This window comes from Homo sapiens, chromosome 9 (assembly GCF_000001405.40).
Source record: "Homo sapiens chromosome 9, GRCh38.p14 Primary Assembly".
Lineage (NCBI taxonomy): Eukaryota > Metazoa > Chordata > Mammalia > Primates > Hominidae > Homo > Homo sapiens.
The window spans coordinates 126,774,510-126,795,044 of NC_000009.12; the positions used below are offsets into that span (position 1 = coordinate 126,774,510).

Below are 20,535 nucleotides of genomic sequence, written 5' to 3' on the forward strand. Positions count from 1 at the left end.
AAAAAAAGAATGCGCTTAGCAAAATAATGTGCAAAGATATACTCGGGAGGTGGATGAAAGGCATTAAAACAAGATTTGAATCAATAGAGAAATTGATCTTGTTCTTGAACTGTATTGTAAAAGTGTCAATCCTCCCTCAAATAATCTATAAATTTGATGTGATTTCAGTGAAAATCTCCACAGGAATTTTTTTATCATGAGAGATTGATTCTTTTTTTTTTTTTTTTTTTTTTTTTTTTGAGACGGAGTCTCGCTCTGTTGCCCAGGCTGGAGTGCAGTGGCGCGATCTCAGCTCACTGCAAGCTCCGCCTCCTGGGTTCACGCCATTCTCCTGCCTCAGCCTCCTGAGTATCTAGGACTACAGGCGCCCGCCACCACGCCCGGCTAATTTTTTTGTATTTTTAGTAGAGACGGGGGTCCACCTTGTTAGCCAGGATGGTCTCGATCTCCTGACCTCGTGATTCGCCCGTCTCGGCCTCCCAAAGTGCTGGGGTTACGGGTGTGAGCCACCGCACCTGTCCGAGAGACTGATTCTATAGTTCACCCGGTGCAACGATTGCACAGAATAGTCAAGAAATTCGGGAAGTGAAAGGAGAGTCATGGGGGGCTTGCCTTACAAAGTTCAATACTATAAAACTAAACTAATTAAAATGCTGGTGGACAATCTGGCAAATAGACCAAGAGAGCTTTCAAAAAGGGCACAGAAATCAAACAGCCATGTTTCTGTGGTGGTCTTAGGAGGTGCAAAGAGTAGAAACCCATTCAGGTTAGTTTAATCAAAAACAGGGACTTTGGGAGAATGTTAGATTATCTCACAGAATCCAAGGAAAAACTGGACAGCCAGACTCCAGAGTGGGCAGGAACTGGGGCCATGCTGAGGTGTCAGCAACACGAGCATGTGTCCTTCAGGGGACGAGTCTCTGTCCTGTGGTCCCTGTGTCCATCTCCTCTCTTTCCATCTGTGTTTCATTTCAAACCTCAGGCTGCTGATCTGGCTCTCCCCAGCCCAGCTGGTTCATCCCTGATCCCATTAGATATGGTCTGGGGTTCAGGAACTTTCCTCTGGATGGAGAGAAGCATGAAGGTGCCTCCTTAACCACACTTGTTCTCTTCCTCGACACTTTCAAACTCCATTTGGAGAAAATGAACACAGGGTCTCCCCCGACTAACCTGACACTTCACCAGGGATTCTGTATTTCAGAAGATGCCACCATACAACTGGTTGGCCAAGCCAGAAGCCAGAGGCCCCCAGCCCCCTGGTTCTCCCCATCCCATGTGTCCAACTGGCCACCAAGTTCAATTGATTTTAGTTCCCAAATATTTCTAGAATCTGTCCACATTTGTCCATCTCCACTACTGTTACCCTAGTTTAAGGAATTGTCCTATTTCACCTGGACCATTTCAACAGCCTTTTGGTAGGCACTTTTGCCCTCTGCCAACATTCGCTACGTGACAATAGCCATCTCTGCTCACCCCTCAGAGCTCAGCTCCTGGAACCACAGTTCTGATTTCTGTAATTATAATTTTGCCTTTTACAGGATACCATATAAGTGAACTCTATAGTATATGACCTTTTGAGTCTGGCTACTTTCACTTAGTCATCATATAATAATGTAATGTTTGCCTTCCCTGCCACCATGTGGGTTCTGTGGAGTGAGAGACCATGTCTGACTCGGTAGCCTCTGTGTCACCCTAGTTTAGCATGGCGTCTCTCACCCTTTTTTTCACTATTCTTCCTCTAAGGAGAAAATTTAATTTTAATTTAAATTATCGCAGATGAGAGAAATTAATTAAATAATTAGAATGCATCAAGCTCCGCCCTTCTATGCCAAATCTTATTCCATTAGAACTAAGGGGTAAGATTTGGTATAGAAGGGCGGGGCTTTGGAAGTGTTTCAGCTCAGGCTGCTATAACAAATTACCATAGACTGGATGGCTTAAACAATATTTATTTCTTACAGTTATGGAGCAGGGAAGTCCAAGATGAAGGTATCTGGTGAGGGTCCAATTCCTCTTGCAGACAGCTGTCTTCTCACTGTGCCCTCATGTGGCAGAGAGGAGAGAGAGATCCAGTATCTCCTACTGTTTTGTTTGTTTGTTGTTTGTTTTTTGAGATGGAGTCTCACTCTGTCAACCAGGCTGGAGTGCCGTGGCGCCATCTCAGCTCACTGCAACCTCTGCCTCCTGGATTCAAGCCATTCTCCTGCCTCAGCCTCTCAAATAGCTGGGATTACAGGCGTGCACCACCACTCCCAGCTAATTTTTGTATTTTTAGTAGAGACGGGATTTTACCATGTTGGCCAGGCTGGTCTCCAACTCCTGACCTCAGGTGATCCACCCACCTCAGCCTCCCAAAGTGCTGGGATTACAGGCGTGAGCCACCGCACCCAGCCTCCTCCTGTTTTTATAAGGCATTAATCCTGTAATGAGGGCCCCACCCTCAGGACCTCAAGCCTGGCCAACATGGTGAAACCCTGTCTCTACTAAAAGTACAAAAAAAAATTAGCCGGCATTGTGGCACACGCCTGTAATCCCAGCTACTCGGGAGGCTAAGGTAGGAGAATCGCTTGAATCCAGGAAGCAGAGGTTGCAATGAGCCGAGATCAAGCCACTGCACTCCAGCCTAGGCGACAGAGCAAGACTCCATCTTAAGAAAAAAAAAAGAAAAGAAAAGAAAAGAAAAAGAAAGAAAGAAAGAAAAAGATAAAAGAAAAGAAGACAGGATTAGGGAGGGGGTTCCTTTCACATGCAGACCCAGGTTTATCTGCACACATTCCTGGAATCCTGACCCTGAGCCATCTTCACAGAGCCCAGGTTTTTGGTTTTTGTTTTTGTTTTTATTTGTTTTGTTTTGTTTTGAGACAGAGTCTCCCTCTGTCACCCAGGCTGGAGTGCAGTGGCGCAATCTTGGCTCACTGCAACCTCCACCTCCCGGGTTCAAGAGATTCTCCTGCCTCAGCCTCCCAAGTAGTTGGGACTACAGGTGCTCGCCACCATGCCCGGCTAATTTTTGTATTTTTAGTAGAGACGGGGGTTTCACCATATTGGCCAAGCTGGTCTTGAACTCCTGACCTTGTGATCCACCCACCTCAGCCTCCCAAAGTGCTGGGATTACAGGGGTGAGCCAACGCGACTGGCCAGAGCCCGGGTCTTTGGTCTCCTTCCTGGAGGATGTTCGGTCCCCCTCCTGGGAGCTGGGGGAGGGCGAAGAATGGACCGCAGGCTTCCAAATTCCAGGGAGAAGCTCTCCTGGCTGGGAGTCAATGCCTGGATCTTCTTCCCGCATCTCTGTTGACCCCAGAACTGGGGAGCAGGGCCCTGCTTAAGCCCAGGGGGACACTCCAACATTCCCTGAAGATTTGTCTCCACGCCCACCTCGCAGGCTCAGGCTGCTCACCTGTCCTGGACCGGCTGCAGCAGCACCACCTCCAGGCCATCCCAGAGAAATGTATTTTCAGAACCCCACAGTGTGCCTGGATGACCTGGTTGGGCTGGGAGGCAGGTGGCAGGGGCCCGGCTGACACTGCAAGCCAGTGGCCTGGGGAAGCTCACCTCACCTCTCTGAGCCCCTGTAAAATGGGGATGTAACACCTCAAGGCGGGGCTGTGAGGATACAGTGAGACAGCCACACTACACATCTGGAAAGCGCCTGGCCCAGCAGGAGCCCAGTAACCAATTCTGATACAGTTCGATGATGTATTTGTTGGCCTAGTTTGCAAAATCCCCAAACATCCAACCATTTCTGAGCTTTATAAAAAACTCATCAAAGTCCTCGCCCCTCCCCCTCTTCTTTTCTTTGTCGCTTTGGACCTCAGATGCTCGGAACTAGGTCAATCACGACCGTCAGCTCAGCTCACAATCACTAGAGACCACACGTGGGTCCTCTGGTGTGTTTCTTTTGTTTTTGATTCTTTCACCCACTTTCTCCCACCCACTCCTGTCTCTCTCCCCTCTCCCACAGGCAAACATTCTTCTGTCATCAGTGTGTGTGTGTCCATGAAATCATAGATTGCAGCATTCATAAGTAGTATTTGCAGGACTTTTCGTTTGGCATTACATTTTTACCATCTTCCAGAGCTAAAGCACATCATTCTCACTTATTCCATGGAGCTGCGGCATGGGGTTTCATTACTCGGCTATGTTACCGGTAACCTACCCATTCCTTTACAAGTGGACACTTCGGTTGTTTCCATCCCTTGGCCAGTACAAATAAATGCTTTCAGGAGGGATATCCTCAGGCAAGTGTCTTTGTCTACTTGTGTGCAAGTTGCTCTGGGGCTTGTGCCTGGAAGTGGAATTGCCTGGGCATGGGTTGCGTACTCTCAACAGTGGCCACACCAGTTCACTGTCCTGCCAGGACCAGAGTTTCTGCATCCCCCTGTCTTCACCAGCATGAGCCTATCTGATGAGGATCAAATGAGCTTCTCAACACCTCTCTCTCTTTTTATTTATTTATTTATTTTTGAGACAGAGTCTTGCTCTGTCGCCCAGACTGGAGTGCAGTGGCTCGATCTCAGCTCACTGCAACCTCTACCTCCTGGGTTCAAGCAATTCTCCTGCCTCAACCTCCCGAGTAGCGGGGATTACAGGCATGTACCACCATGCCTGGCTAATTTTTATACTTTTTTAGTAGAGATGGGGGAGGTTTCACCCTGTTGGCCAGGCTGGTCTGGATCTCCTGACCTTGTGATCTGCCCGCCTCGGCCTCCCAAAGTGCTGGGATTACAGGTGTGGTTCACTGTGCCCAGCCTCGGTTGTCTTTTTTTTTTTTTTTTTTTTTTGAGATGGAGTCTCACTCTGTTGCCCAGGCTGAAGTGCACTGGCGCAATCTCAGCTCACTGCAACCTCCACCTCCCAGGTTCAAGAGATTCTCCGTCTCAGCCTCCCAAGTAGCTGGGACTACAGGCGCGTGCCACCACGCTCGGCTAATTTTTTGTATTTTTAGTAGAGATGGAGTTTCACCGTGTTAGCCAGGATGGTCTCGGTCTCCTGACCTCGTGATCCACCTGCCTCAGCCTCCCAAAGTGCTTGGGATTACAGGCGTGAGCCACCGCCCCAGCCTTGGTTATCTTTTAACACAAGTGGCTCCAACTGCTGATGCACCTCCTCATGGCCCATCATAACATCCATGTGCTGTGCTCTGCTAGGGAGGTGACACGGGCACTAACTTGGCTATAGCCAGCTGGACAAGGGATGGTGCATAGGTCTAAGACAAACCAAGGTGCATGGCTAGTCCCAAGATGGCCCCTCAAACTCCACTCACACTGAAGGTGCCAATCAACTCATCAAAAAGCAAATGCATCAGCCTGGACAACATCGCAAAACCTGTCTCTACAAAAAATACAACATTTAGCTGAGCCTAGTGGCACGCACCTGTATCCCAGCTGATTGGCTTGAAGGGCTGACACAGGAGGATTGCTTGAGCCCTGTGAGGTCGAGGCTGCAGTGAGCCAAGAGCATGCCACTGCACTCCAGCCTGGGTGACAAAGTGAGACCCTGTCTCCAAACAACAACAACAACAAACACACACACAAAAAAAACAAAAATCAAATGCAGTTTGCTTGCTCACCACCTCTCTTCAGGAAGTCGAAACGTGCAACAAAAAACAGGAATGTGGTTGATTTGGTTTGGGCTCCTGTCCTGAGCCCCCGTTTGCAATCTTCTTGGTTGTCTATGAGACAGGAGGAGGGGCCACAGTATATGACAAACTAGGGCCTAAGACTGGGTGGCCCTGTCCCCTTCAAGCTCCAAATCCCTGGTGCTTTTGCATATAGGCTTTCAGAGTCATAAGCTCTGGAGTCAGAATATCTTGGGTTCAAATCTCATCTTAGCCACCTGGCAGAGCTGTTGTAAATGACAAGCACTCAGTAAATGCGAAGAGCTTAGCAGGGCTCCAGGCACATACTAAGCCTCGAAAGTGGCAATCTATTACCATTAACAACCCATAACATAGGAGATACATTCTCCACCTTATGGATAATAAAAGTCATTCCCAGAGAGGCTGATAGCTTGCAGGAAAACAGAATTCAAACCCAGGTTTGGGCCAGGCACGGTGGCTCATGCCTGTAATCCTAGCACTTCGGGAGGCCGAGGTGGGCGGATCACTTGAGGTCAGGAGTTCAAGACCAGCCTGGCCAACATGGTGAAACCCCATCTCTACTAAAAATACAAAGATTAGCCAGGCGTGGTGGTGCTCACCTGTAATCCCAGCTATTCGGGAGGCTGAGGCAGGAGAAGTGCTTGAACCCGGGAGGCAGGGCTGCAGTGAGCCAAGAGGGCACCACTGCACTCCAGCCTGGGTGACAGAGCAAGACTCCATCTCAAAACAAAACAAAACAAAACAAAAACAAAAAACAAAAGCCCGGGCGCGGTGGCTCACACCTGTAATCCCAGCACTTTGGGAGGCCGAGGCGGGCGAATCACGAGGTCAGGAGTTCAAGACCAGCCTGACCATTTTTAGTCTCTACTAAAAATACAAAAATTAGCCAGGTGTGGTGGCGGATGCCTGTAATCCCACCTACTCAGGAGGCTGAGGCAGGAGAATCATTTGAACCTGGGAGGCAGAGGTTGCAGTGAGCCGAAATTGCACCATTGCACTCCAGCCTAGGTGACAGGGTGAGACTCCGTCTCAAAAAAAAAAAAAAACAAAAAAAGCAAACAAACAAACAGAAAAACAGGTCTATGGGTCTGGCCCCTCTATTTGTTCTCGCTGCCTGACTTCATTGACTTCCACTCCTGCCAGGAGCTGGACTGAGTCGAGAACTAGATGCCTTCATAGAGCTCCAGGTCCTGGTCTTAGGGTGGGAGACCGGCCCCCTTAGCAGGGGTCCCTCAGGGAGTGGGAGGACCAGGGCGAGCCTGGGTCCAGGCAGGGCTACAAGAGGCTCCCAGGTGATGGGGAAGGGGGCTGCCTGGCCCTTCTCCAAGCACATTTAGAGCCAACCCAAGGGAAACCCCGATTCTGTCAGTGCTGGCACGCCTGGGGCACAAGCATCGGAGACATTAAATATTAAACACGTCGGCTGCCTTCCAAGCTTGGTAATTAAAACTCTTATTTCATATTTTACACAGGATGGACGGGGAGGTCACAGACTGCTCTTAGATGTTTCATAGTTCCTTGTTCACAGATGAAGTGGCTCTTCCGAGGAAAACCTCCTCTCACTTGGGATCCTCGCGCCCTATTTATTAAGTGATTTCCTGGGAGGGAGGCCAGGGAGCGGAGGTCGGGGAGGTCTCCGGGGTGTAAGGCCCCAACCAGGAATCCCAGCAGGGTTTTGGGCTTTCTTTCTGCTTCTCCAAAATGGGCCTGGGTTCCCAGGAGACGGCCGAGGGCGCCTCGCCCCTGCTGGAAGGGCAGCCTGGGAGCTGGAGTTGGCAAACGGGAGGGGACGGGAGGGGACGGGAGGAGCCCCAGGGGAGGGGGCGTCTTCCCTTAGCTTTCAGCGCCATCTGCTGGCCGTATGCTAAACTGCCGCTCCCCCGGAGGCCAGCTAGAGACCAATTTCGAGTTCTGAGCAGGGAGAGAGAGGAGGGGTTCCAGGACAATCAGGCCTGGAGCTTCCAGAAACATTCCAAAAACACAGTTTAGATTTTTAATTGTTCACTCAGTCATTCTCCCGGGGTCTAGGGAGAAATAGGACTCAGACTCGGATCTCTGGGGACCTACCCCAGCATGATAACCTGGGTGTGCCTGGGGTTCATGGGGGCCTGGGAATCACGGAGGCCCCCTCACCTGCATTCACTGTGTGCCAAGCACTGGCCTACATCACTGACATTTGTTGTATCACTGCAGGTGCTGTGATCTTGCTGCCGTGCTCATTTGACAGATGAAAACACTCAGGCTGTGAGAGAACCCCAAAGCCAGAGGATTCCCTTGATCACTCCCCACCATGGCCAACATGATGAAATCCTGTTTCTACTAAAAATACAAAAATTAGCCGGCCGTGGTGGCAGGCACCTGTAATCCCACCTACTCGGGAGGCTGAGGCGGGAGAATTGCTTGAACCTGGGAGGCGGAGGTTGCAGTGAGCCAAGATCACACCACTGCACTCCAGCCTGGGCGACAGAGCAAGACTCCATCTCAAAAAAAACAAAACAAAAAGAAAGAAAGAACAAGGGAGAGAGGAGAAAGCAAGCAAGCCAGTGTGAGGGAAAAGGAGTGAGAATGGGGAGGGCCTGAGATAAGACTGCAGCAGAAGGTCCGGGGCTACTGGATTTGAACCTATAGCTTTAGAGCATGGGGCACCATGGAGAGAAGAGAGGTAGGGAGGAACACGAGCAGATTTGTGGTTTTTTGGGGGTTTGTTTCGTTTTGTTTTTTGAGACAGAGTCTCACTGTGTCGCATAGGCTGGAGTGCAGTGGTGCAATCTTGGCTCACTGCAAGCTCCGCCTTCCGGGTTCACGCCATTCTCCTGCCTCAGCCTCCCGAGTAGCTGGGACTACAGGCGCCCGCCACCACGCCCAGCTAATTTTGTGTATTTTTAGTAGAGACGGGGTTTCACCGTGTTAACCAGGATGGTCTCCATCTCCTGACCTCGTGATCCGTCCGCCTTGGCCTCCCAAAGTGCTGGGATTTGTGTTTTTAAAATAACCCTCGGGCTGCACAGTGAAGCATCGCAGTGTAGGGAGCAGGGTGGGGGAAGGCTGGAGTCAGGGAGCCCAATTTGGAAGCCGCTGTAGTCAGGTGAGAGAGGATGGGGTTGGGGGAGGGAGCCTGAACTAGGGCAGAGGAGACAGGAGTGGAGATAGTGGATGGATGTGGAGATTGAAGCTGGAAATAGAGCCCAAGAAGTATCCATGGCTCACATTTCTGCAAAACTGGACACCTGGAGGTGACGTTCACTAAAATGAGGCCCATACTTCTCCCACCACATCTCACTGGCCAAGAGCAGTCAAGGGTGGGAGCATTCTCCACCTTTGGTGGGAAAGACCATGAAGTTACATGGCAAAGGGTGCACATGCAGGGGGACTAAAGAATCAGGGCCAGTGACGCACAGTTTTTTGTTTGTTTGTTTTTTGTTTTGAGACAGAGTCTTGCTCTTGTTGCCCAGGCTGGAGTACAGTGGCACGATCTCGGCTCACTGCAACCTCCGCCTCCCAGGTTCAAGCAATTCTCCTGCCCTCAGCCTCCTGAGTAGCTACAGGTGTGCACCACCACAGCCTGCTAATTTTTTTTTTTTTAATTTTTAGTAGAAATGGGGTTTCACCATGTTGGCCAGGCTGGTCTGGAACTCCTGACCTCAAGTGATCTGCCCTCCTCGGCCTCCCAAAGTGCTGGGATTATAGGTGTGAGCCACTGTGCCCAGCCAGGTGTCCAGAGAGAAAATGATCGATGTTTGAGAAGCCACCTTCCCCTTCCACACCCTTGTCCTGGTAAAGGAGAAGGAGTCTTGCTTGCTGATTCAGCTCCTGGCCGCCCTTCTCTTGTGGGGATTCTGGGTGAATGGTGAATCTCACATAAACAAGCTAGAGGTTAATCTATGTAAAAAAGACTTGAGAGTGAGGGCAGGTTAGGGAGAAAAAAACTGCTTAGGCAAGGAGAAAGAATACTGCCTGGCTCCCAGTAGCAACATGGGCCTTATTCCAGCCCTTCCTAAGGCCTTGCCAAATTCCCAGCATTAGTTCCTTTTAATAAGCCATCAGAGGAGACTAGGCTGGGAGTGATGAGACTTGGCATGCATTTTTTTTAGAACACTGGCTAAGAATAGCTGAGAGGTTCTCAAGGGCAACAGGTAGGAGGGGTCAGGCCATCCTTATCACAACGCTCTAGTCATTAAAACAGTGTGGTTTCAGCACAAGGACAGACACAAAGACTAATAGAGGGGAAGGTAGAACCCAGAAGCAGACCCTCAAACACACAGGCACATAATCCATGACAGAGGTGGTCCACAGAGCAGTAGGGGACAGAGAGAGTCTTCAGTAAGTAATTTTGGGACGAAATTGAGTACCCATGTGGAAAACATGAAATGGACCTCCACCTCCGCCATATGCAGCAACACCCATTCCCTGCAGGCCTCCCGGAAGGTCTGGAACCAGGAACTGGAGAGCTATTGGAACCGTGGCAGCTCCGCCGTCCCCGGCCCACTTTTCCCCCTCCCCTCCTGATGCTTACAGAACGCATTTTAGACACTGGGCACTGTGCTAACGGCTTCTTTGCATTCTCATTGAGTCTCCACAACATTCTTCTGAGGCCAGTATGATGACCCCATTTTACAGCTGACGAAACTGAGGCTCAGCGATTGAGTCATTTTCCCAAGGGTATATAAATTATAGGATGTGGGGTTGGGATTTGAACCCAAATAGGCCAGTTCCAGGGCCTACTGTTTTACAGCATCTGATATGGTTCAGCTGTGTCCCCACCCAAATCTCAACTTGAGTTGTACCTCCCAGAATTCCCACGTGTTGTGGGAGGGACCCAGGGGGAGGTAATTGAATCATGCGGGCCAGTCTTTCCCATGCTAGTCTAGTGATGGTCTCATGAGATCTGATGGGTTTATCAGGGCTTGCCACTTTTACTTCTTCCTCATTTTCTCTTGCCGCTGCCATGTAAGAAGTGCCTTTCACCTCCCACAGTGATCCTGAGGCCTCCCCAGCCATGTGGAACTGTAAGTCCAATTAAACCTCGTTTTCTTCCCAGTCTCGGGTATGTCTTTGTCAGCAGCGTGAAAATGGATGAATACAGCACCCCTTCTGGAAACAGAAGTTCAGTGTGATAGGGGTCTGTGGTATTGGGATGGGGGGCTTGTGGTGTGGAGGCTGGAAGTGAAGGAGTGGGGTGGGAGGAGTGCCCGGAGAGGGGGGTAGAAGCAGACCATCGAGGGCATAGAATGCCAACCAGGAAGCTTCCCCTCTTTCTTCAGATAGGAGAGAGTGGGAGGATTGGAAAGTGAGAGAGTCATGCTGGCTCCTGCACTGCAAGTCCCCTCCTCACCACTTAGACCATCCCAGGACCCCAAGCCAGCAGTTCTGCAAGAAGGCTGTTCAGACACAGGCCGCTTCCTGCCAGCCTTCTTCCTTGTCTCTTAGGCCTTAGAAGTGGCTCAGTTACATCTTCCCCTGTCATGCCAGAATCTGGCCTCACTGGATGCCACATCAGGGTGAAGTGGAGAACCAGGAGGTAGGCTAGCCAAAGCAGTTAGAATGTTTCAGTTGTGAAAAAAAAAAAAAAAAAAAAAAAAAGGCCGGACACAGTGGCTCACGCCTGTAATCCCAGCACTTTGGGAGTCTGAGGAGGGCAGATCACGAGGTCAGGAGATTGAGACCATCCTGGCTAACACGGTGAAACCCCGTCTCTACTAAAAATACAAAAAATTAGCCGGGCGTGGTAGCGGGCACCTGTAGTCCCAGCTACTCGGGAGGCCGAGGCAGGAGAATGGCGTGAACCCGGGAGGCAGAGCTTGCAGTGAGCTGAGATCGTGCCTCTGCACTCCAGCCTGGGCAACAGAGCGAGATTCCGTCGAAAGAAAGGAAGGAAGGAAGGAAGGAAGGAAGGAAGGAAGGAAGGAAGGAAGGAAGGAAGGGAAACGAAACGAAACAAAACCTACTTGGATTGGCTAATGCCCTAAAGTGAGAATTTGATGTTTCGACCACTGAAAATTTGAAATGCCACCAGGGCCTAGAAGCACCTGAAATCATGAATTAGAGATCCAATGGGAAATAAGAGACTCCTCTTCTTCATCCTAAGCCCCCCTTCTTTCTTTCTTTTTATTTTATTTTATTTTTGAGACAGGGTCTCGCTCTGTTGCCCAGGCTGGAGTGCAGTGGTGCAATCTCAGCTCATGGCAACCTCCGCCTCCCGGGTTCAAGTGATTCTCCTGCCTCAGCCTCGCAAGTAGCTGGGATTACAGGTGCCCGCCACCATGCCCAGCTAATTTTTGTATTTTTAGTAGAGATGGGGTTTCGTCATGTGGGTCAGGCTGGTCTCGAACTCCTGACCTCATGTGATCTGCCCACCTTGGCCTCCCAAAGTTCTGGGATTATAGGAGTGAGCCACCGCACCTGGCCCTTTTTTCTTTCTTAATCAGGGTTCCTGTGGTCCCTCCTCTCTGACATTCCTGCAGTCCTCTGCCTCTCCAGCCACCTATGTGCAGATGAGCCCCACATCTCTGGTTCTAGCCTGGTCTGCTCTGGAATCTCACACCAAAACACCTCCTGAGCATGGCCATTAGGATATTCCACTAGCTCCTCAAACTCAGCATGTCCCAAACTCAACTCAGCCCCCTCCCCTGAACCTGGTCTTCTTATCCTATGTTCCTCTGCAGTGAGTGTGTGATAGCGCCACTATGATAGTTGACCCAGTTACCAATGCCAAAAATCAGAAAGTTGCCCTGGACAACTGCCCCCTCACTCCCACATTCACTATTCAGCAAGACCGGTTAGTTCTTTCTCTTAAATGGCCTTCAAATCTGCCCTTTCCTCTAAGTCTCCACAGCCACTGCCTTAAACATCTTTCACATGGACAACTGCTGTAGCTTTCTTACAGATCTCTCCCACTTCAGTCTTAAAATACAAAGTAGGTGTGCCACTCCTCTGTTTAAAACCCTTCCGTTACTAGGATAAAGATAGATAATGGTTCAATGGGATAGAATTGAGAGCCCAGAAATAAACCCACACATTTACGGTAAATGGATTTTCAACAGGGGTACCACAACGATTCAGTGGAAGGAAGTTTAGACTTTTCAACAAATGGTGCCAGGACAACTGTATATCCACATGCAAAAGAATGAAGTTGGACCCCTACCTCACACTGTAAACAAAAATTAACTCAAAATTGATCGAAGATCTAAATGTAAGGACTAAAACTATACAACTTTTAGGAAAAAAGGTAGATGTAAATCTTTGTGACTCTGGATTAGGTAACAGTTTCTCATACATAACATCAAAGCACAACCAGCCAAAGGAAAAATGGATAAATTGGACTTCATCAAAACTTCTAAATTTGTGCTTCAAAGGACAGTATTGAGAAAGTGAAAATGTCTGCACATCATGTATATGATAAGGGTCTAGTATCCAGAATATATAAAGAAATTTTATGATTCAACAATAAAAACACAAATGCAACTAAATTTTAAATGCTCAAAAGATCTGAATAGATATTTCTACAAAGAAAATATACACATGGCCAAAAAACTCATAAAACGATGCAAAATGTAATTAGTTACTAGAGAACTGCAAATCAAAACCACCAATTGGTGGGGCATGATGGATGGCTCATGCCTATAAACCCAGCACTTTGGGAGGCTGAGATGGGAGGATTGCTTAAGGCAAGGAGTTTGAGACCAGCCTGGGAAACATAGCAAGACCCCAATTCTAAAAAAAAACCAATTGTTTAATTAAACAAAATAAAACAAAACCACAATGAGATACGTTACACCCACTAGGGTGGCTATAACAAAAAAGACAGGCAGTAACAAGTGTTGGAGAGGATGTGGAGAAATTAGAAATCTTGTATTAATATATTGCTGGTGAGAATGAAAACTGGAATAGCCACTATGGAAAGCAGTTCGGCAGTGCCTCAAAAAGTTAAACATACTATTATCATATGACCCAGGAATTTCACATCTAGGTATATGCCCAAGAGCTCTGAAAACATATGATGTCCACACAAAAATTCGTACATGAATTTTCATAGCAGCATTATTTATAGTAGCCAAAATGTGGAAATGATCCAAATGCCTGGGATATTCTTCAGTTCTGAAAAGGAAGTACTGATACATGTGACAACAGGGATAAATCTTAGAAATATGCTAAGTGAAAGAAGCCAGACACAAAAGGCCACATACTGAATGCTTCTATTTATATGAAATATCCAGAACAGGCAAATCTGAAGAGAAAATAAATTCATGGTTTCCAGCAGCTCGAGGGAGGGAAGAATGGGAAGTGATTGGGTGCAGGATTTCTTTTGGAATGATGACAATGTTCTGGATTAGAGAGTGGTGATGATTGTACAACTTTATGAACATGCTAAAAATCACTGAATTGTATACTTTAAAAGGGTGAAGCTTGTGGTATATGAAATAATGTATCAATCTTAAAAAAATAAAACCTTCAGTGGCTCCACTGACCCCGAGGACCTTTCATGGTCTAGCCCCTGCCTACCCCTCCAGCCTCATCCCGTGCTAGTCCTTCTATTGATCACTTTGCTCAGAGGAGCAGATCATTAGGATTTTTCTTGAGATTGTGGTCGATGGGTAAGCAGTTTTTCTGTCTGTTGCCCTGCATCTAAATGTGTCAGCTGCAATAGCACCTGACTAAGCAAAACCAAGGCTGCTGCTTGATCTCCACCTTCCTGACTCATACACATTTCTCTTGAAACAAAACCTGACCCACAACCACACAGGGAAAGGCATCTTGGGACATGAAGTTCCAGCTTAGCTAAACAGACATAGTACCAAGCCACCCGGGTTCTTCTCACATGCTATTTCCCTGCCCAGAGCCCGGTCCCCACTTCTGTTTTCACCCACACATTCCTACTCCTTCTTCAAATCTCAGCTACCCTCAGGAAAGCTCTCTGGCCCTTGCTCTATTCCTGGACCGGCCCCTCCTCCGATCTTCCCTGGCCCACTTTATGAGGTCCAGGATATGCAGTTGAGGAGGTTGTACACGACTCCAAGAGCACAGTTCACACTCCTAGTCATCAGAGTCATCACACACATCCTTAACGTGAATTTCTCCACCAATGGTAGTAAAGTGACTAACGCTTAGGGCAATTCTTTCTTTCTTTCTTTCCTTCCTTCCTCCCTCCCTCCCTCCCTCCCTCCCTTCTTCCTTTCTTTCCTTCTTTCTTTCTTTCTTTCTTTCTTTCTTGACAGAGTCTCGCTCTGTCACCCAGGCTGGAGTGCAGTGGCACAATCTCGGCTCACTGCAAGCTCCGCCTTCCAGGTTCACGCCATTCTCCTGACTCAGTCTCCTGAGTAGCTGGGAGTACAGCCGCCCGCCACCACGCCCGGCTAATTTTTTGTATTTTTAGTAGAGACGGGGTTTCACCGTGTTAGCCAGGATGGTCTCGATCTCCTGACCTTGTGATCCGCCCACCTCAGCCTCCCAAAGTGCTGGGATTACAGGCGTGAGCCACCGCGCCCGGCCCACTTGCGGCATATTTTTCTAACACAGGTGCTCATAGGAGGTCCTGGGGCTGACCGTAGTCCTTTTGTTTCAGGGGATGGAGGTACCTGGGCACCAGGCTGTTTCCCTTCCTAGACTGTGGGCTCCATCTGTCAAGAACCATGTCAGAACAGCTCAATATGGGGTTCCCAGCATTTAGCCTAGGGGCTGGTACACAGCAGACACTTGACATCTATAAAACAAAGGAATGAGTGAATGTCTGGAGGATGAGAGAGGAGTGGCAGGAGAGAGGGCAGGAAGATGGGTGGGCTGGGGGCTTCAGGAACCGGGCTAGAGGCAGAAAGATGAGACAGTACAGTGAGGTAGCTCGGAGTGTGGATTCAAGAGCCAGACCCTCATCCCCATCACTTACCAGCTGTGTGACCTTCAGTGAGTTACTTCACCTCTCTGTGCCTTAATTTGTTGATCTGTAAAAATAGAGCTAAGAATAGCACCTCCCTTGATGGATTGTAAGAGAATTCACTGGGCTAATATTTGCAAAAGACATAGATAGCAGTACACAAGTGTTCATTAAACAAAGAAATACATATATGCATGCATACATACATACATACACAAACACACAAATGAATAAATACAATAAAAAGATGAATAAATTTGTTTCTCTTTCAAAGCCAGGAGAAAATGCAGCAGAAGGTGGTACTGGGGTTCCCTATTCAAGTGGTGGGAAGGCAGTGTAGTGCTTTGACTCTGAAAGTACATAGGTTTAAGAGCATCAAGATAAATGCCCCAGCTGGCAAGAACCTCTAGACTAGAGGGTATTGCATTAGCATACTGTTAGTTAAGGAGTTATAGCTCTTAGGATACCAGCTTCTGCACAATAAAATGATTTTTAAAACATTTTTAAAACCCGATTAAAACATAATGCTCTGTTGAGTTACTGCCACAAAATGTTTTGTTTGCAAATTACAGCCTAGTGGATTTAATTTACTTTCTGCTGACACCCGTATTAGACATGATGGACCAGGCAAGCACAGCAAGGCTGCAGGCTGCGGAACAGCATTGCAGGAATTGGAGCTTGCGGCTCCACCGTGGAGCATCTGTGGAGGAGGTGGCATGGCCAGGCCTCTCCACTCCCACCACTAGGTCCTGAGGGTCTTACTAATGGCCTGTCACTATGGTCCTTCCCATAGGCTCTCTGCACCATGGAGGGTTTGGGGCTTGGCAGGACACTGTACACTGAGGACAGAGACTGAAAAGGTGATCCAGGGCCAAGTTCAGCCACCTGATTGTTTGCCTGGCTCACACCAAGATTTCAAAAAATTTGAGCCAAGCTTTTTTTTTTTTTTTTTTTTAGTGCAGTGGTGCAATCTCAGCTCACTGCAATCTCTGCCTCCCGGGTTCAAGCGATTCTCCTGCCTCAGCCTTCCAAGTAGCTGGGATTACAAGCATGTGCCACCATGCCTGGCTACTTTTTGTATTTTTAGTAGAAATGGGGTTTCACCATGTTGGCCAGGCTGGACTCAAACTCCTGACCTCAGGTGATCCGCCCACCTCGGCCTCCAAAAGTGCTGGAATTATAGGCATGAGCCACTGTGCCTGGCCTGAGCCAACATTTAAAAATCAGGAGGTACAGGCTGGGTGTGGTGGCACGCGCCTGTAATCCCAGCTACTCGGGAGGCTGAGGCAGGCAAATTGCTTGATCCTAGGAGGCGGAGGTTGCGGTGAGCCAAGATTGTGCCACTGTTCTCCTGTCTGGACAACAGAGTGAGACCCTGTCTCAAAAAGAAAAGAAAAACAAAATCAGGAGGTACTACTTTAAAAATCTTGATGTTTTACTACTCTTGAAAAATGAGAACAACGGGCAACACTGGGCTGTCATTGTCATGGCAACAAAAGGCTGGAGTATGTATGAGTGGTCATGTGCTTTCGGTTTGTCACACTCTCTACCCTTCCCTACCGCCTCAGGAATCTGAGACGCACTGAAGTCCTATTTGCTGGTGCATGTGAGCTGTTGTTTTTTCTCTGGGTGGAGAAGTATTTCCAGACTCCATAGGTATCATTCCAGTACCAGCAGGAAACAGATGACACACTCAAGTTGAGTAATTGAGGAGAGTTTAGCAATGAGATTATTTACAAAGGTATAAACAGGGATTAAGAAAAGCAACAGGGAAGGAATGATTTAGTACCCTGGGGCTAGGAACACTGGGGACTGTTGCCACCCTAAATTTGAAGCGGTGCAGACAGGGGACCTGGAGAGATTTACTGACGGAGCTGAGGCTGGGTCAAGGGCTGTGGCCAGCCCACGGGGACTCCACAGGAAGGGAGCCCGGAAAATGATTTTTTAAATGTACTCCTCCTTCCCTCCAGTCTCCCCTGGGGATCCCAGGGGCCACACCAGCTGGAAGCTAGCAGACAGAAGAGTCCATATGAATCAGCCCCCCAAACACAGACTTGGGGTGGGGAGGCAGAGAGGATCTGTGGGAAGAGCCAAATGGAAGACAGCCAGCCTGTCACATGTCCTTCAGAAGTGGCAGGATGGCCAGGCGTGGTGGCTCAGACCTGTAATCCCAGCACTTTGGGAGGCCAAGGTGGGTGGATCACTTGAGGTCAAGAGATTGAGACCAGCCTGGCCAACATGGTGAAACCCTGTCTCTATTAAAAATTAGCCAGGCATGGTGAAGCAGCCTAATTGGGAGACTTGAAGCAGGAGAATCAGTTGAACCTGGGAGGAGGAGGTTGCAGTGAGCTGAGATTGCACCACTACACTCCAGCCTGGACAACAGAGCAAGATGCTGTCTCAAAAAAAAAAAAAATGGCAGGACAAAAAAATACACATAGAGGAGCCAATATCTAAGGACAAATGAGAGTGCATAGCTTTGTGTAGATGTTAAGAATATGCATTCTGGCCGGGCATGGTGACTCACACGTATAATCCCAGCACTTTGGGAGGCCAAGGCAGGCAGATCACGAGGTCAGGAGATTGAGAAATTCCTGGCTAACATAGTGAAACCCCATCTCTACTAAAAATACAAAAAATTAGCTGGGCATGGTGGCACACACCTGTAGTCCCAGCTACTCGGGAGGCTGAGGCAGAAGAATCGCCTGAACCTGGGAGGTGGAGGTTGCAGTGAGCTGAGATCACGCCACTGTACTCCAGCCTGGGCAACAAAGCAAGACTCCGTCTTGAAAAAAAAAAAGAATATGCATCCTTATACAGTTAATGTGCAAATGTCTACTGTTCTCATTTGCATCACCGACTTTACCTCTTGGGAAAGCTTGCCTCCCCTTGACCCCTTCATGCCCCCTCTCACCCCACCACACCATGTTTTTGTGCTGTTTCCTCTTTGGGAAATGGATGGAACTTTCCATCTTCAAACGGAAATAGCATTAGAGGATCCTACCCCTCCGCCCCTCTGTGTGGGGAGGCAGAGGACAGGTGACAGCTCAGACACTGGCCTCCCCTGGACCTGCCCTCATCAACAGCTTGTCCCTTGTTTCTGTTCCCGATGTCAAGCAGTATCTCAGCAAGGCAGAGCATCCCTGCTCCAGGAAGAGGGCTCTCCTACAGCCAGGAGAGAAATTCTGTTCTGGAGGCTGGGCATGGTGGCTCACGCCTGTGAGCACTCCCAATCTCAGCACTTTGGGAGGCCAGGGTGGATGGATCACTTGAGTGCAGGAGTTTGAGACCAGTCTGGGCCACACAGGGAAACCCCGTGTTTGTATTTTTGTTTCTACAAAAGATTAGCTGGGCAGGTGATGGCACACCTAGCTACTAAAGGGGCTGAGGTGGGAGGATCACCTGAGCCCGGGAGGTCAAGGCTACAGTGAGCCATGACTGTGCCATTGCACTCCAGCCTGGGTGAGAGAGTAAGACTCTGTCTCAAAAAACGAAAAAAGAAAAGAAAAGAGAAAAGAAGTTCAGTTCTGGGAGCGGGGAGGGAAGATTTTGGCCCCAGGTTCCAGTTGCATTCTCCAATTTAGATCTACCAGGAATAAAGCTGAAGCCATTGTCTCTATTTGATCTCAATCCCTTATGCCCTGTATTGAGACTCCCTAGCATGACACCCCATCCTGTGTTTGAGGAATTCCCCATTCTCCAAAACTTGGAGAGAGGCGGAAACTACGCCCCACTGTAGAAGCCCAAAGGGCCAGTTTGTTGCTTCCTCAGCCTCCCTTGCAGCCAGGGAGCAGACGCTGGCCAGCCTCAGCCAACCAGAGGACTCTGACTCGGCAGCTAGTGGCACATGAGGGCAGTGGTGGCAGCAAGATCTGCTTCCAAAGTAGCAGGGGCAGCGCAGTGCAGACTGGAGGGGACGGGGGATCCAGTTGGCAGCAGCAACCGCACTGGCAAAAGTGGTGGCCATGGTGGTGGCAGCAGTGTTCTGGCCACCCCAGTTCTGTGGCCTGATTGTGGGTGCGGCTTGGCTGCATAGTCACAGAGCTCGATTTTCCAGCCCTCTTGGGGATCAGATCCTTTTAGTGAATTCTTTTTCTACTGTAATCAGCCAGACTCCATTTCTGTTCTGTGCAGCTTAGAATGTCTACCCAGACATGTGCACACATGTCCCAAAAGCCAGAACCCTGGAAGAAAGAGTGGGTGACTCCTCCAACCACTCCCCCGAGCAACCACCTCACAGCCTGTGTGTCAGTTAAGAGTGTCTTGATTGTAAAGAAACAAAAACAAAAACAAAATTGCAAACTGATGAGCAATGAAGGGAATGTGTTGGTTCACCTGGGTCTGGTGAGGTGAAGCTGGATCCAGATTCTCACCAAGACACTGACTTTTCCCTACCTGTGTTTTATATCTTTCTTGCTGTCAACTTCATTTCCAGCCCCCTCACACAGGCTCTTGCAATTCCAGGCTCTCTCCTTACAGAAATAAAATGGCTGCAATGGTTCCTGACCTCGCATCCTCCCACACCATCCAACAAAAGGGTGTCTCTTCCAGTAGCTCCCCACAACTCCTGGGGTGTCCAGCTGGTCCCACAGCCTGAAGCAGAGCTGCCCAGTTGAGCCCAGCTTAAACCAGCCAGCCCTTAACTGATCTGCAGACACACAAATGAGAATAGGTAATTACTGTTGTAAGCCACTGAGCCTTGCGGTGGATTGTTTTGTAATAACAGCAGGCGGACACAGTCATCGGCGCTGAAACTGGGAGCCTGCCATAATAAAAACTTCAAATATGAGGCATTGGGTTTGGGACCAGGCAATAAGCAACAAGGAAATATTTACGGGGGGCTGGAAAGTGGTGAGAAAACTTATAGGAAACAGGAAAAGGCAGCCTGTGTTAAGTAGTGGGAAACATTTAGTAAAACTCCTGTGTATGAAGATTTGAATGAGAAAAATGTATCTAATGAAGTTTTAGAGTTGGGAGAAGACATTTAGAGGCAAAACGTCAAAAGTAGGACTTTCTTGGCGGGCCATGGTGGCTCAAGCCTGTAATCCCAGCACTTTGGGAGGACGAGGCA

General features: G+C 48.8%; 2 annotated features.

Moving 5' to 3' along the window:
• Positions 5,044–5,213: an enhancer, noted in NCBI's record as "experimental_106693 CRE fragment used in MPRA reporter constructs". NCBI's record gives its function as "activates a minimal promoter by MPRAs in K562 erythroleukemia cells, with activity observed for both the introgressed and non-introgressed 9:129541917 variant alleles {active_cell/tissue: K562}" and the evidence as "EXISTENCE:reporter gene assay evidence [ECO:0000049][PMID:34662402]".
• Positions 17,830–17,999: an enhancer, noted in NCBI's record as "experimental_106710 CRE fragment used in MPRA reporter constructs". NCBI's record gives its function as "activates a minimal promoter by MPRAs in K562 erythroleukemia cells, with activity observed for both the introgressed and non-introgressed 9:129554703 variant alleles {active_cell/tissue: K562}" and the evidence as "EXISTENCE:reporter gene assay evidence [ECO:0000049][PMID:34662402]".